This window comes from Homo sapiens, chromosome 6, assembly GCF_000001405.40.
Source record: "Homo sapiens chromosome 6, GRCh38.p14 Primary Assembly".
In the NCBI taxonomy this organism is placed as follows: Eukaryota; Metazoa; Chordata; class Mammalia; order Primates; family Hominidae; genus Homo; species Homo sapiens.
Window position 1 is genome coordinate 33089925 of NC_000006.12, and position 18247 is coordinate 33108171.

Sequence of the window (18247 nt, forward strand, 5' to 3'; positions counted from 1 at the left end):
TTCACAATAGAAAGGGCTTAAATAGAGAAGTAAAGGAGAATTTGGGAATTTGAAGCAAAAGCAAGAAGCCACTGAATCAAGCACAAATATTGAGCTTTGATAAAGATTGGAATAAGAAACATAATAAATGAGACAAGAAATAGGACTTTTGCAACTGAAGTGTAATTAATAAACAAAAAGCCAAACTGAGAAACTGTCCCAAGGACAATATGATCGAGTAAACAATAGAAAATGTAAAGGACAAGTGAAGAGAAATGAAGGATAGAAACAGACATCTGACATCTTAATAATTAGACGTCTAGAAAGTCAGGGAAATAGTGGAGGAAGAGGAAATAACTGAAAACATAATAGATGTTTAGTCTTTATAGAAAGATGAAATAAGTTCATTCAAAATGCTGCATAGAATGTCAGACTGTTAAACAATTTTGTTAGAGTAAAATGACTGTAAACAAATGAGCTAATTATGTGAATTAAGAGGATGGAAAAGCAGAAAAACAGCAAAAAGAAAATACATGTAAATAATAAGGACAAAAGCTGAATTCAATGAAATATAAAAATAGAGAAGATAAAATCAAATTTTGAGGCAATGAAAACTTTAATGAGACCTCTGGCAAGACTCCTAAGGAAAATACAGGAGATTCAGAACGAAAAGGGTAAATGACATTTATACACATTTTAAAATGCAAAATCTTACGACCAACTCTATACATATAAATTTGAAAATTTAGATAAAACGGATACGTTTCTAGAAAGATATAAAGGTCAAAACTACAGGAAGAAATAGAAAACTAAAATAGAGTAGAGAATATCAAAGAAATTGTCATGGGAAGCAAAGAATCGCCTTCCAAAGGGCCCTGTCCTGATCTTATTGCAGATGAGGGTGTCCTCCCACATTTCCAGGAGCAGATCATGCCTCTTACACGTGTGATTCTAGAACATAGAATGGAACAGAATTTTTGAGATCATTTTATGAGGTTGGTTCATTTATATTTCCAGAGCCAGCTAAGAATAGTACAGGAGAACAGGATTGTGGACTAATTTTAGCCATGTCACTGAATCCAACAGTACATTATAAAAACAATACGTTTTGACCAATTTTAGATTTATTCTAGGAATGCAATGATTCTTCAGTGTCAGAAAATATATAATGTGGTTAACACATTAGTGGACTCCGCAAAATTCATATTAATTTAAACTGAATTCAGCTCAAGACATAGACAGAATTTAATCAATTTCATGACATGTTAAAGGTAGTGAACCAAAAATCTATAGCATATATATTTCAAAGAAATGAGGTGGATTGCCTTTGAGATTGTGCAAAAGATAGGATGTCCTTCGTTGCTGGAAATGTTTAACATAGCATTGGAAGTTCTGAACATCACTCTGCGGGCAGAAGAAAATTAAGGCTGTGTAAAATGTAGGAAGACAGATAGTGACTGCAGATGAAATAATCTAAATACTGGACAAGACTGCAGCCACTGCAGGCCCAAAGCCTGGGTTTAAATCCAAGCTTTGCACTTTGAAGCTGTGTGGTCTTCACCTCTCCCGGTGTCTGATTCCTGCTCTGTAACATGAAATAAATAAGAACCAACCTCCAGATGTAAATAAGTGAACACATGAGAAGCACTTAGAATAGTGCCTAGAACATAGTAAGCAACTCAATGAATGTCATTTCTCATTACATTTGTTAATGTTTTTATCCAGCCCAATGGCAGTAAAACATCAATGCTCAAAGAGCCCCTGGTGAAGTGTTTCTCTTTCCCACTCTTCACCCCTAACTTGTTACCTCGTCTTTTCCACTCTGTCCCTAATACACCTATAGGATGACTCATAGGAGCCCCTGGACCCGGGGATGCTGTCAGATCGCTTGGTCTTTGAGACAATGGTGCCATTAAGGACCCCCGCCAGGCCCACCAGCAGGCCGAGGGCACAGACCAGCATCTCCATGGTCTCAGGCACCTGGATTAGTTCATGGACCTCTGGGGCACCAAGGGAAGACAGAGTTATAAGGTACAGAGAGCAGGGGCTGGCCTTGGATGTGGGAGGTGTTGGGTATTCGAAACCATGAGATGGTGAAATTTGGATAAAGTGACCATAAAACATGGGATTGAGGAAGGCAGGTGCTGAGGGGCGATGGGCCCAGGAAATAAAGGTGGTGCCAAGGCCGTGAGGGCAGAGGGAGGGCGCTCCATACCCCAGTGCCTGAGGAGAGGCTGGTGCAGGCCCCAGTGCTCCCCCTGGAGGTCACAGGTGTCCTCGGCCATGGGAACGAGGGTCAGATAGTGGAACCTGTGTAATCTGAGTTTCTTGCTGGGCAGGAAGATGGTCTCTGCAATACCCTCAATGACTGGCTCCCCATTGCGCAGCCACGTGATGTTCAGCACTGGTGGGAAGAACTTGTCAACATGGCAGACGAGGGTGTTGGGCTGGCCCAGATCCACAGGCTCCTTGGGAAAGACGCTTACCTCGGTGGGGGCTCCAAAAGGGGATAGAACCCAAGGAGCCTACTGCCATTGGCTGATTCTTAAAGGTTCCACCACCCCAAGTCCTATATTCACCAGATTAGGGGCCACCTCTCCCAGGCCCATCCTCCTGCTCCCCTAGGGCTCCTGGACAGGGTCACAGCTTCTCGTGCTCCTGACCTGGCCCCCTCAGCCCAGCCTTTCTCTTGAGTAAGAAGAAAATGCCTCCTCCTCTGCTGTCCTAAGAACCCAGCTGTGTGGACCCAAGATTTCTCGCTCTCAGGGAAGGGGCTCATTCATGAGTGGGCATCATGGCCTCTAGTTCTATGTGTGGCAGAGAGGCCCTCCCATCCCTCCAGCTGGACTCTAGAGGAACAGGCAGCTATAGGCAGTGCCATTTGTGGCCCAAGTCTGTTTGGACCATTGATCCGGGTGTTCAAGTGCTTCCTTGCCATGACGATGCCAGCAATACCCCTCTGAGAGGAACAGGCAGCTATAGGCAGTGCCATTTGTGGCCCAAGTCTGTTTGGACCATTGATCCGGGTGTTCAAGTGCTTCCTTGCCATGACGATGCCAGCAATACCCCTCTGAGCACCAAAGTCAAAGGTGTGAATAAACTCTGGTAGAGGCCAGACCATCTCCTTCTCATCCAGGTTCACGTAGAACTGCTCCTCCTCATCAAATTCAAACATATACTCCCCAGAGGGTCTGTGCGTCTGCACAAACTCCGCATATGTTGACACATGGTCTGCTGCATGAAGGAGAAGATGGAGAATGGGTGAATACGTAGGATGCTACACAGAATGCAGGAAGCAAACAGGTAACAGGAAGGTTATTGGGAACATGAAGGAATAACACAGAAAATGAGAAATGCAAATGAAAGAAAAGAAAAGGAGTGAGAAGAAACAAAGACAGAAATGACCCATGGACGATATAGGTTGTTTCCCTTGTCCCTGAAGACTTAACATCCGTCTATGATAATGGTAATGCTGAATACAGTAAGATAATATTTATTGGGCACTTACTATGTGCTAAACTTACTCATTGAATCTTCACACCCCCATGTAGAAGAACTTATTTTCCATAGTAGGGAACTGACCCCAGAGGTAAAGTAACTTGTCCAAGTCACACAACTCCTGGTAGAAACAATATTGAGTAGTCCTCCTACCTCATTCCTGTAGGATCTCAGAAACCCTACAGGACAATACATTAAAAATTACTGATATAGCCATAAAGCAAGGCAGGGAAGTGGAAGGATGGAATAAATATTTCAGAGTGGAACAAAATCGTGAAGGACATGAAAATACCTCCAGAGTCTTAGTGACATTTATAGACTTCAAGTTACATTCTTACTTTTAGAAGAAAAATGATACCTTCTATAATTTTATCCACAACACTTACATTTTAGGCAGAGTAAATTTAAAAGTATTATCATTCACATAACATTCACAAAATTGTCTTGTGGAGTGTAGTTTTCAAGTGTAGTTTCACCTGGAAATACAAGTTGTTGGCATTTGAAAGACCTATGGGATAGTATCTTAGCTTTACCTGATACATAAGAAGCAGCAACTGGTTGATAACAAAAAGTGAATTATTATTACAGTGAATTACAGAGAGTTTAGGGTTCGGCCTGGAAGAGGAAGTGAAGCCAAATGACACTGCATGGTTGGTGGTCCCTAAGTGAGGATTTCCCCTCCCAGCCCAGCATGGGGAGAACCAGTCCTCTACTTAGATGCATAGTGTGACAGCAGGTTCAGTGCCGCACACGGATGGTGAGGGTCCCCCACTGAGTTTAGGGTCTAGAGGATTACTCACCTACAGAAATGAATCCCAAAGGAAAAAGAAAAATACATGGTGTATAGACTGGGCTACACAGATGTAATTGGTTCAGCTTAGGTTACTTTGTATTTATTATATTTACAAAATCTGAAAACTAAAGGTTGGCACATTTTGAAGCAAATTCCACACTTCAAATGTTAATTTTCATTCAGTTAATAAATGCTTTTTGTGAACTTTCACTCTCTAGGTAATAAGGATGAAACTCTAAAGATGGGAACTTTGTCCTTAATCTACTTGAAATTCAAGAATAAAACAGACAAAGAAAAGATGATTGCTACATGTGTGGTTTGATCACCACTGAGTATCACAAGGTATACACAAGAGCTACTCAGGAGCAAAATTAAAATACGATTTAGGAAAGGTTCCTAGGGACAGTGTTCACCTGCAGATAGCAAAACAGAGAAAGGGGAAATGGCATTTCCAGCAGGAGAAGCAGGCTCAGGAGCAGAGAGGCATGAAGTTGCAAGGAGAACTGCAGTTCTTCAGTGTGACTGAAGCCAGGGGAGATGTGGGCCAGGCAGCACTGTAACCTGCCTTGTGTGCTGATGGCAAGTGTTTGCATTTTATCCCACAGGACATAGGAAGTTGTGAAGTATCTTAAGCAGGAGAGTAACACGGTCAGATTTGTGTTTGGATGGGGCACCTGTAGGAAGGATGGGCTGGAGGAGGCGGGACTCAAGGCAAGACCAGTAGCACTTTTAAGCCCTCTGGTGGGAAGTAATGAAGGCGTAGGCCAGGGCAGGAACATGGGGTGAGGAGGACAGCAGATGGATTTGATGGCAGTAATGACATGAGAGGCCACAGGAATCACTAAATCACATGCCAGAAGTAGGGATATGAAGAAGTCGAGAATAACCACGCAACGTGGAGAATTGTGGCATCCGTGCCTGCAAAGGTGATAATTAAGTGATTGAGAGAAGGTAAAATTTTCTGTTTGAGACATACTGAATTTAAACTTCTAGGGGAAAACATACAGTTGATTTGAAGGCAGTGAAATAAATGGATGAGTGTCATGCTACATTAGGTTAGTGACATAAACTGGAAGGAGGCTCATGGTGGGTGAAGTTCTAATTTTGGGTCAGGTCACTCAAGAAAAGTACACAAAGTCAGGATAGCAGGGATCTGAGTGTGTGCTCCTGCATCCAGACAAACACAGACATGAAGAAAGAGGCTGAAAAGCAGAGGACTAGAAATTGGTAGGAAAACAGAGAGGAAGTGGGTTCATAAAAGACAAGAGACAGGAGAAAACTTCCAGGAAAGAGGAGAGGGGGCATCTCAAACACACTAATGACACACATAAGACAGAAACAGAACAGTGACCACTGGCTTGAGTTGTATAAAAGTCATTAGTTGCCACCCTGAGAGGAGCATCAGAGATGAGGGAAAGAAAAAGAGAGAGTACATTGGGTTGAGGACTGAATGAAATGGGAGAAAATCGATAATAGGCTGGGCACAGTGGCCCATACCTGTAATCTCAGTGATTTGAGAGGCCGAGACAGGAGGATCACTTGAGGCCAGGAGTTTGAAAGCAGCCTAGGAAACATAGTGAGAGTCCATCTCTAAGAAAACAATTTTGGATTCCCTGCCTTCCATGAGCAACACAGCAAACATAAGCTCTGCAGATGTGCTCAGACTTGAGCCTGACTCACTGAAGAGAGTGTGGTGCTGCCAGGCCTCAGACACCAGATTATAATCAACCTCTTCCCAGGCCCTGCACAGGAGAGGCCCACTCTGTGGGGCATACAGTGCCCAGGGGTGGTACAGGCCCTGCAGAGACCACAGACTGTTCACCTGACAAGAAATATCTTGAGGAACTCACTTCACAGATCCCTCAAGAAAGGAACCACTGCAGGAGAATACCCAGAAAATCGAAAGAATTCACAGATCCTTTTAAAGAAGGGAGGGGCCACTGCAAACTCCACCAGACAAGTGAAAAACTGTGCGTTCCCAAAGCGTGAGAGGGGAAAAACCTGCCTCCGGACCCATGTCCCCACTGGGGAACTCGAAAATCCAGATTACAGGAAAAGGATTTAACTTTACCTAGACCTGAAACAGATTTAGCATGAAATACAAAAGTACGCCGGGCGCTGCCGCTCACACCTGTAATCCCGGCACTTTGGGAGGCCGAGGCGGGCGGATTACAAGGTCAGGAGATTGAGACCATCCTGGCTAACACGATGAAACCCCGTCTCTACTAAAAATACAAAACAATTAGCCAGGCGTGGTGGCGGGCGCCTGTAGTGCCAGCTACTAGGAAGGCTGAGGCAGGAGAATGGCATAAACCCGGAAGGCGGAGCCTGCAGTGAACCGAGATCGCGCCACTGCACTCCAGCCTGGGTGACAGAGTGAGACTCCGTCGCAACAAAAAGAAAAAAAAAATATATATATATGGTAGATGCAGCAGTGAGAAGAGCCTTGTAGGCACGCCCAGTCTTTAGCTCAAGCCCAGGGAAGCCACCCCTGACTATATCTCACAAGGGCCCTGGGGGAAGGCAGACGGCAAAATTTGGAAGGGGTCACAGTGTGAAAGGAGCGTCCAACTGAAATTTGTTATAATTCTGACTGGGCACAAATCCTCTGGAGCAGAATCTGGGGGCGAACGGAACTGCTGGAGAAAGAGCAGAAGTTACTGCCAACATTGTGGGCAGACAGGGAGGCACATGGCCTGAAAGCTGTGCTTGCTTTCTCAGCAGGAAACTTATAGCCTGGAGTGAGGTCTGAGTCCATCCTGAAGGCTGCAGGGAGATAAATTCAATGCTGTTAGTGTGGCACAGCAGGAGCAAAACCTGCCTCGCCAACTGCATGGGAGCTGGGTGAAGCCTATTGCTACCAGGTTTCCCCTACTTCTCTGGTGACAGAGGCAGCCATAATGCCCTCTGGAACATAATTCCATTGGCTGGAGAAAAACCCTCCGCCCCATCCCTCACAGTGGCTGCCGCAAGCCCCCCGCCCGAGGAGAGTCTGAGCTCAGACCTGCCTAACCCTGTCCACACCTGAGGGCATTTCTCTACCCACCTGGTAGCCAATCACAAAAGACGTAAACTCTTGGGAGCTTTATGACACCACTCATTGCCTGAGAAACTGAATATTTATCTTGGCCAACTTAGGGCAAGCTTATATCCACCTTCTACTATTGTAGCTGGTGCCCTCTTGAAAGCACCACATCCTGGCTGGAGGCCAACCAACTCAGGACATTACAACAATTCACGACAGAATAACTGCTCTAAGAAAGGAGAAAACAGCTAATTCCACTGGCTGAAAAATCTTGACTAACCAGTGGTCTTCGGTCTGTTCACATGACAACTGCACTGCTAGCATAACCAGCATTTGAGAAAGCCACCACACTAAGTCTATCTACAACCAAGGATTCTCACAGAGTCTACTTCACTCCCCTACCACCTCCACACTGGACCCCAGCAATAGATCCAAACTAAGAAGAAATCTCTGAATTGCTAGATAGAGAATTCAGAAGGTTGATTTTAAGCTACTCAAAAAGATACCAGAGAAAGGTGAAAAACAACTTAAATAAATTTTTTAAAAACACAGGATATGGATTAAAAATGCCCCAGGGACGTAGATATCATAAAGAAGAAACAATCCAACTTCTGGAAATGAAAGACACACTTAGAGAAATACAAAATGCACTGGAAAGTTTCAACAATAGGATCCAACAAGTAGAAGAAAGAACTTCATAGCTCAAACAACAAGCCTTTCGAATTAACCCAGTCAGACAAAGACAAAGAAAAAAGAACTTTAATAAATAAACAAAGCCTCCAAGAAATTTGGGATTATGTTAAATGACCTAAGAATGATTGGCATTCTTGAGGAAGAACAAAAATCTAAAAGTTTGGAAAACATATTTGAGGGAATAATCAAGGAAAACTTCCCTGGCCTCGCTAGAGATCTACACAACCAAATACAAGAAGCTCAAAGACCACCTGGGAAATTTATCACAGAAAGATTATCGCCCAGGCACATAGTCATCAGGTTATCTAAAGTCAGGACAAAGGAAAGAATCTTAAGAGCTGTGAGGCAAAAGCATCAGGTAACCTATAAAGGAAAACCTATCAGATTAACAGCAGCCTATAAGCCAGAAAAGACTGGGGTCTTATCTTTAGCCTCCTCAAACAAAATAATTTCCAGGCAAGAATTTTGTATCCAGCAAAACTAAGCGTCATAAATGAAGGAGAGATAAAGTCTTTTTCAGACAAACAAATGCTGAGAGACTTCACCGCTACCAATCCAGCACTACACAAAATGCTAAAAGGAGTTCTAAGTCTTCAAACAAAACTCCAAAATACACCAAAATAGAACCTCCTTAAAGCATAAATCTCACAGGGCCTATAAAACAGTAATGCAAAGGAAAAAAATAAGGAATTCAGGCAACAACTAGCATGAGAAATAGAACAGTACTTCACATCTCAATATTAACACTCTCCACTTAAAAGATACAGAATGGCAGGAAGGATAAAAATTCAGCAACCAAGTATCTTCAGTCTTCAAGAGTCATCTAATGTGTAAGGACTCACAAAAACTTAAGGTAAAGGAGTGGAAAAAGATATTCCATACAAATGGAAAACAAAAGCAAGCAAGAGTAGCTATTCTTATATCAGTCAAAACAGATTTTAAAGCAACAACAGTTAAAAAAGACAAAGAGGGACATTATACAATGATAAAAGGATAACTCCAACAGGAAAATATCACAATCCTAAACATATATGCACCTAACATGGGAGCTTCCAAATTTATAAAACAATTATTACTAGACATGAGAAATGAGATAGACAGCAACACAATAATAGTGGGGACTTCAATACTCCACTGACAGTACTAGAAAGTCATCAAGACAGAAAGTCAACAATGAAACAATGGACTTAAGTTACACTAGAAGAAATAAACTTAACAGATATTTACAGAACATTCTACTCAACAACTGTAGAATATACATTCTTCTCATCAGCACATGAAACATCCTCCAAGATAGACCACATAATAGGCCACAAAACAAGCCTCAACAAATTTAAGGTAATCAAAATTATATCAAGTCCCCTCTCAGACCACAGTGGAATAAAATTGGAAATTAACTCCAAAAGAAACCTTCAAAACTATACAAATACATGGAAATTAAATAATTTGCTCCTGAATGATCTTTGGGTCAACAGTGAAATCAAGATGCAAAATTCTCTGAACTGAATGATAATAGTGACACAACTTGTGAAAACCACTCGGACACAGTAAAAACAGTCCTAAGAGGAAAGTTCATAGCATTAAATGCCTATATCAAAAAGTCTGAAAGAGCACAAATACAAAATGTAAAGTCACACCTCAAGGAACTAGAGAAACAAGAACAAACCAAACCCAAACCCAGCAGAAGAAAAGAAATAACAAAGAGAGCAGAAGTAAATGAAATTGAAACAAAAAAATACAAAAGATAAATGAAACATGAAGCTGATTCTTTGAAACGATACATAAAATTGATAGACCATTAGTGAGATTAACCAAGAAAAGAGAGGATCCAAATAACCTCAATTAGAAACAAAATGGAAGAAAATGCCACTGATATTACAGAAATATAAAATATCATTCAAGGCTAATATGAACACATTCACAGGCACAAACTAGAAAACCTAGAGAAGACAGATTCCTGGAAATATACAACCCTCCTAGAATAAATCAGGAAGAAATAGAAACTGTGAACAGACCAATAAAAAGCAGAAAGATTGAAATGGTAATTTTTAAAAAACTGCCAACGATAAAAAATCACAGATTCACATGGACTCACAGCTGAATTCAATCAGACATTCAAAGAAGAGAATTGGTACCAATCCTACTGAAACTATTCCAAAACAGAGAAGGAGAGAATCCTCCCTAAATTATTCTATGAAGCCAGGATCGCCCTAATACCAAAACCAGGAAAGGACATAATAAAAAAGAAAACTACAGACCAATATCTCTGATGAAAATAGATGCAAAAATCCTCAACAAAATACAAGCTAACATAATCCAACAGCATATCAAAAAGATCATACATGGTGATAAATTGGGTTTCATGCCAGGGATGCAAGGATGATTTAATACACACAAGTCAATAAATGTGATAGATCACATAAACAGATTTGAAAACAAAAATCATATGATCTCAATAGATGCAGAAAAAGCATTTGACAAAATCCATCATCGCTTTTTTATTAAAACCCTCAGCAAACTTGACATACAAAGATCATAACTTAAGGTAATAAAAACCATCTATGACAAACCCACAGCCGACCTTATACTGAACGGGGAAAAGTTCAAAGCATACCCCCTGAGAACTGGAACAAGATAAGGATGCCCACTCTCACCACTTCTATTCAACATAGTACTGGAAATCCTAGCCAGAGCAATCAGACAAATCAGTAAATAGGAAGTCAAACTGTCACTGTTCACCAATGATATGACTGTATACCTAGAAAACCATAAATACTTATCCAAAAAGCTCCTAGATCTGATAAATGAATTCAGTAAAGTTTCAGGATACAAAATCAATGTACACAAATCTGTAGCACTGCCATATACTAACAGTGACCAAGCTGAGAATTAAATCAAGAACTCAACCCCTTTTATAGTAGCTGCAAAAAAATAAAATACTTAGGAATATACCTAACCAAGGAGGTTTACTGGGGGAACCAGCCCCCAATATTTCAAAGTATGTTCTTTTCTATTTTCCCTAAGTGTGGGCCAGTCTGAGAAATAAAGAGAAAGAGTACAAAAGAGAGAAATTTACAGCTGGGTCTCCGGGGGTGATATCACATGTCAGCAGGTTCCATGATGCCCACCTGAGCCGCAAAACCAGCAAGTTTTTATTATGGATTTCAAAAGGGGTGGGGGTCTATGAATAGGGAATGGGTCACAGGGATCACATGCTTCAGAGGGCAGTAAAAGATCACAAGGCAGAGGGCAAAACTAGAATCACTGATGAGGTTCCACATCCCGCTGGGCACACATTGTCATTGATAAACATCTTAACAGGAAACAGGGTTCGAGAGCAGAGAACCAGTATGACTAGAATTTGCCAGGCTGGAATTTCCTAATCCTAGCAAGCCTGAGGGCACTGCAGGAGACCAGGGCATATTTCATCCCTTATCTTCAACCATGTAATTCAGACACTCCCAGAGTGGCCATTTTAGAGACCTCCCCCGGGAATGCATTCTTTTCCCAGGGCTATTCCTTGCTGACAAAAGAATTCAGCGATATTTCTCCTATTTGCTTTTGCAAGAAGAGAAATATGACTCTGTTCTGCCTGGCCCTGCAGGCAGTCAGACCTTATGGTTATCTCCCTTGTTCCCTGAAAATTGCTGTTATCCTGTTCTTTTCAAGGTGCCCAGTTTTCATATTGTTCAAACACACATGCTTTACAAACAATTTATGCAGTTAACGCAATCATCACAGGGTCCTGAGGTGACATACATCTTCAGCTTACAAAGATGACAGGATTAAGAGATTAAAGTAAAGACAGGCATAGGAAGTTATAAGAGTATTGATTGGGGAAGTGATAAATGTCCATGAAATCTTCACAATTTATGTTCTTCCACTGTGGCTTCAGCCGGTCCCTCCATTCAGGGTCCCTGACTTCCCGCAATAGAGGTTAAACACCTGTACGAGGAAAATTAAAAACACTGCCGAAAGAAATTATAGATGACACTAACAAGTAGAACCACGTCCCATGCTCATGGAAGGGTAGAATCAACATTGTGAAAATGACCATACTGCCAAAAGCAATCTACAAATTCAATGCAATCCCCATCAAAATGCCATCATCATTCTTTACAGAGCTAGAAAAAAACAATCCTAAAATTCATATGGAACTACAAAAGAGCCCACATAGCCAAAGTAAGATTAAGCAAAACGAATAAATCTGGAGCATCACATTACCTGACTTCAAAATATACTGCAAGGCTATAGTCACCAAAACAGCATGGGAATGGTATAAAAACAGGCACATAGACAAATTGAACAGAATAGAAGTCCCAGAAATAAAACCAAATACTTACAGCCAACTGATCAAACAAAAACATAAAGTGGGGAAAGGACAGCGTATTCAACAGATGGTACTGGGGAAATTGGCAGTCCACATGCAGAAGAATTAAACTGGATCCTCATCTCTCACCTTATACAAAAATCAACTCAAGGTAGATCAAAGACTTAAATCTAAGACCTGAAACCATAAAAATTCTAGAACATTGGAAAAACTCTTCTAGACATTGGCATAGGCAAAGAGTTCATGACCAAGAACCCAAAAGCAAATGCAAAAGAAACAAGATAAATAGATGGGACCTAATTAAACTAAAAAGTTTCTTCAAAGGAAAAGAAATAATCATCAGAGTAAACAGCCCACAGAGTGGGAGAAAATATTCGCAAGCTATACATACAAAAAAGGACTAATATCCAGAATCTACAAAAAACTCAAACAAATCAGCAAGAAATAAACAAATACTCCCATCAAAAAGTGGGCTAAGCAGAGGAACAGACAATTCTCAAAAGAAAATATACAAATGGTTGACAAACATATGAAAAAATGCTCTACATCACTAATTATCAGGGAAATGCAAATCAAAACCACTATGTGATACCAACTTACTCCTGTAACAATGGTCATAATTTAAAAATAAAAAAAAAAATAGACGTTGGGGTAGGTGTGATGAAAAGAGAACACTTCTATGCTACTGGTGGGAAATTAAACTAGTACAACCTATGGAAAACAGTACAGCGATGCCTTAAAGAACTAGAAATAGATCTACCATTTGATCCAGCAATCCCACTACTGGAGGAAAAAAGCCATTGTATGAAAAAGACACTTGCACACACATGTTTACAGCACCATGATTCACAATTGCAAAAATATGGAACCACCCCAAATGCCCATCAGTTAATGGGTGAATGAAGAAAATGTGATATATATATATGTGATATATATATATGTGATCTATATATATATAGATCTATATATATATATATATATATAGATCACATATATATATATATGATCTATATATAGATCACATATGATATATATGTGATCTATATACCTTAGAATACTACTCAGCCATAAGAAAGAATGAAATAACATTTGCAGCAACCTAGGGGGAATTAGAAACCATTATTTTAAGGGAAGTAACTCAAGAATGGAAAACCAAATATTGTATGTTCTCACTTATAAGTGGGAGCTAAGCTATGAAGACACAAAGGCATAAGAATTATATAATGGACTTTGAGGACTTCCAGGTATGAGTAGGAGCTGGGTAAGGGATAAAAGACTACACACTGGATACAGTGTACATTCCTCAGGTGATGGGTGCACCAAAACCTCAGAAATCACCACTAAAGAACTTATCCATATAACCAAACACCACCTGCTCCCCAAAAACTATTGAATTAATTTTTCAAAATGATTTTTTAAAAAACTTTTATTGGAAGGACCCTCCGGAGTTCTGAGGAGGAGGCCTGAGCATATGTGGGGAAGGCACAGATGAACACATAGGAGGGATCTCTAAGAAAACAATGGCCACCAGGTCACTGCTAGACTCACCACAGGGCCTTCTAAACCAGGGGGCCCCTCCACGAGCATACCCTGTGGAGTCAAAGGTTAAAACTCACAGGTGACAGGGCCAGCACACTAAACCCCACTTGCTTCTCCTCTTTCCACCACCTCAGCCCTGTGACCAGCATGACTTACAGGTTCCAGCACTGCAGGCTCTCTCTTCTCTCCCTTCAGCCCCCGGGGCCCATGGGCAGCCTAAGGGAGACACACATGTAACCCCAGTGGGGCCCATGAGCAGCCAGGACACCAGGCCTGCCCCCATCTCAACTCCAACCTCGATTTTGGGTCCTCTGGAGACCAGACCAGCCCTACCCACAAGCCCCACAGGCTTCCTCTAAATACTTCTGTTCACAAAACTCTCATGCCTGCCAAGGAGATCTCAGGGTTCCCTGCACCCCAGTTCTCAGTCCCACCTCAGCAAACACAACCTCTCCAAATCCTGAAGAGCCTCTTTCAGAAAGAGGACTTTGAGTCTTTCAGTCTTTCTCCAAAAAAGAAAAGGTATATGCCCTTATGCACAAAATTTTATTTAGAATTTGAAGGAGTTCAAAAATGTAAAAACCCTGCACAGGTTAAGTATCCATACTCCAAGTAAATTTGGAGAGCATTTCCCAGAGATATTCCAAACTCAGGCCTCATAACTGCCTTTTGCAAAACATACAGTTCTTGGGCTCAGTTATCCAAGCCCCAGAGCAGCCCCCTACAATGCACCCCACAGTTCCTCTCCCAGCAGGATGCTTTGCCCTTCTTCTGGCCCTCATGTACACTCCAAGCCAACCAGTTCCCTCCCTTGCACACCTCCATTCAGATGCCTGTTCCCAAATCCAGGCCATAGCCAAGATAAGGGTGGGGAGAAGGTGAAACATTCACCACCACCCCAACTCCCCAAAACAAAGATCTTCAGAATGCCCCTCTCCACCTTCATCCTGACAGCAATGATCCGTTTCAAAATTCTCCCAGATCCCACATCAACCCCAAAGACCCAGACAGCAGCATAAAGGAAAGGCAGCAGAAGCTCACGGGTGCCAAGAGCAGGAGGTGTGGGATGCAGCAGCAGGGTAGAAAAGGCAGCCATAACTGCAAGGCAGGCAGAAGATGTAGCAGAGTAGACAGGAAGCAGTCCAACTGACAGAGAATACTGGAAGATATGAGAACAACTAAGGGACACAAAATAAAATGACAAACACTTGGATGCAAGAGTGATGCCAGGGCCAAGGAAAATTAAACATGGCCAAGATGGCCACAAAACAAACTGGACAAACAGGAAGTGGCTGTACAGACAGGAAGCAGCCAAGAAAAGAGGATCTGGGAAGTGAACCTTCAACAATATGGCTACCATGACCCAGAGTGAAAAGAAAGGCACAAAACAGGTACAATGGGACTCCTGCAGAGGGAATTATGCATGCAAGGCTTAGTGGGTAGATGAGCGGGAGGTACAGAGTAGATGGAATCAGATGAGTGAATAGATAGATGGGTGGAATTGAATACATGGTTGAGTGAACGGTTGGATGTGAAGTGAGTGGGTGAGGAGATGGGTGCATGAGTGTATTGAAGGAGAGAGTGGTTGAGTTCCAGGAAGGATAATGGATAGATGGGTGGCTGAACAGATGCATGCATCCTTGTATGCATGGGTAGATGGGGTGTGTGAGTGGGTGGGTGAGTGAATAGATGGATGGATAAGTTGAAGAGGACAGATGAACAAAAGCATAGTCGAATAGATGTGTGTAAAGAAGGGGAGAGTCATTAAGCAGGGGGAGGATGGACAGGTGAGTGGATATAAGCCTTCATGCATGAGTAGATGGGTAAGTTTGTGATGCATAGGTGGGTAAATGGTTGCGGGAGTGGGTGGTGGATGTGTGCGTAGGTGGACTGGTGAATGAGTGGATGGATGGGGTGGATGAGGAGAGAGATAGGTTCAAGGGATGGATAGATGGAGAGATGAAGACTGAAGGATAGAATAAGTGGCTGTGGACAGTCCTGCCACATAAGTGGACATCTAGTTATTCTGCAGAGATCAGCAGTCCTGAAGATAGGAAATGCAAATCAAAATTCACAAGAAAAAAAATGAAGGCTTAGGAAATAGGAACATTGCATACTGGGGCCAGAAGAGGAGTGGGCACAAAATAAGGGACCAGAAGTCACTCCTTTCTCTGATTTTTGTGGTAACCTCAAAGACTTTCTTCATCTGGGATACAGGCACCAACAATTATCACCCCACAGGTGTCCAACACTGGACTAGTTCTTCAGGGGAGAGGCCGGGTGACTCACATCTTGCAGTCAACAATGAGGGTGACAGACTGGCCCTTCATGGCCATAGCCACAAGGTGCCACCTGGTCATGGAGTGAGAGGTTCAAGTGACTGACTGAAGCAGGGGCGTCAACAGGGTTGGAGATCTGTTGATGAAAGTTGAAACCAATGACGATGAGAGCAGTAATCACAATAGCTGCCATTTATCAAGTGCTTACAGTGCAACAAACACTGTGCCATCACTTTCTCACTTGTTTGTGCCAATTCTATTTACTGTCCATCCTAAGATGTAGAAACTGAGGCTCAAAAAATTTAAGTAACTTGCCCAAGGTACAGGCTAACACAACTTGCAGAGAAGGATGCACTCTAAGCCCAAACTCTGGGCTAGAAGTGACTGAACTTTGGGCAGTGCGTAGGTGTGTTGTGGCCAAAAGAAGGAACAGGGTTTCACAGTTTAGAGCGTACAGGTTCTAGGGCACTTTCTCACAAAAGTGTGGGCCAGGCAGACCAGAGGAGCAAATAGACTTACTTGCCAACTACTAGGGTGAGGCCTCAGAAGACGGGCTAAGCAGGTTGAAGTCGTCCAGTCTGATCCTCATACAGGAAGCTGACAAGTTGGCCTGGCTCCAGGCTCAACTGTTGGACACCTGGGCACTGCAGAGAATCAGGAGGGGAGCTTGGAGACCAGGACGGGTCCAGAAAACAGTCAGGAGAAAGAAATCTTTAGGAAATCCTCCTGGTACCCGAGAGAAATACACACAGAGTGAGAGGCAAAGAGAGCCACCACCCCTTTCCTCCTGGTGTCTGATTCCAGACCCCACCCCATTACCTCCCTCACCGTGTCACTACACTTAGGAAGAGGTAGAGGGTGGGTGTGCTGAGTTGGGCAGTTTATGACACTCAGTAGATAGACAGATACCCCTTGCCCTCCAGACACCATCAGGGAAGTAGGGGAAACTCAGGCCCAGGAGCAAATCCACAGGGGGTGCACCTGGGAGAGTCCATGAGGGTCAGGGGAAGGGACACGCCCTCAGGAGGGAATAAATGGGGGACTTTGTCTCAGAAGGGAGTGCAACTTGCACTTGTGGTCACAGAGGGCTGCTAAGAACTCCTCAACAGGACAGTTCAGTTATGGAAACTGGGAAGGGGTAAGACTAGGAAGAGAGGAGGCTGGAGAAGTGTGTGATGTCGCTGAACAGTGTGCAGCAGGAGGGAAGGGGTGCAGATGAGAAGAGAACTTGAAGGGTCAGCAATTCCATCAGCCTTTGGGGTAGAGAGCACATGAATTGAGAAAGAAAGCTGAGATATAGCTTGTAAAACAGCTGGAATTCAGATCTCTCCTAAGTCCTCTTCCTTTCACATATTTTGTCACCTGCCTCGAGACACACACAGTTACTGTCATCCCTGGGTTCAGTACTGTAAGCCCAGACCCATCTTCCCTGCTCCCTTTATACCTGATCCTCCTATTTCTCTGCCCTGTTTAGGTCCCAGGCAGAAGCTAGGTGGTCATCTCTGTGCCCTCTCTGGTCCTCCAGGTGAACAGAACTTAGCATTCAAGGAGTTCCCTAAAGTCAATTAATTTCACCCCCAAACCCCAGCTGACTTTGAGGGCATCCGCATGCATCATGTCGCCAACATATCCTGACAAGGGGAAGGGCCACATTTCTGAAGCCAGAGAAGAAGCTCAATTCTGGAATGATGGGGATGAAGGAGAAATAATTGCTCACATTATGTAAAACTGCTCTCTGAAAGGATTTCAAAACCAAGGTAAGATTTCTGAAATGACTTCTGTTGAACTTCTGACTCCACTCTACTTCCTCCTTCCTGGAAATCTTTACCTCCTTGGCTTATGTGCCAGTATATTCTACTAATTCTTCTGCCTCTCTGCTTCTCCATTTTCTTTGAATAGTTCTCTTTTGACATTTTGTTCATTATATATTTTCCATTAATTTAGATTTCTTAAGATATTTCATTAAAATATGATTGACTTTTATTACTGAGTTCTTTTGGTATCCTCCTAAATTTTGCACCTAAGGTAAGTGCATCCCTAGTCCCAGCCTGGCTTTCCACACTGTCTCTTAATATCTAACATTCTCTATTTATTTCATTCATTTCATGTAA

General features: G+C 42.5%; 2 pseudogenes; both read right to left on the reverse strand.

Moving 5' to 3' along the window:
* HLA-DPA2 (major histocompatibility complex, class II, DP alpha 2 (pseudogene)) lies at positions 1558-3390 on the reverse strand (annotated as a pseudogene).
* COL11A2P1 (collagen type XI alpha 2 pseudogene 1) lies at positions 13769-17220 on the reverse strand (annotated as a pseudogene).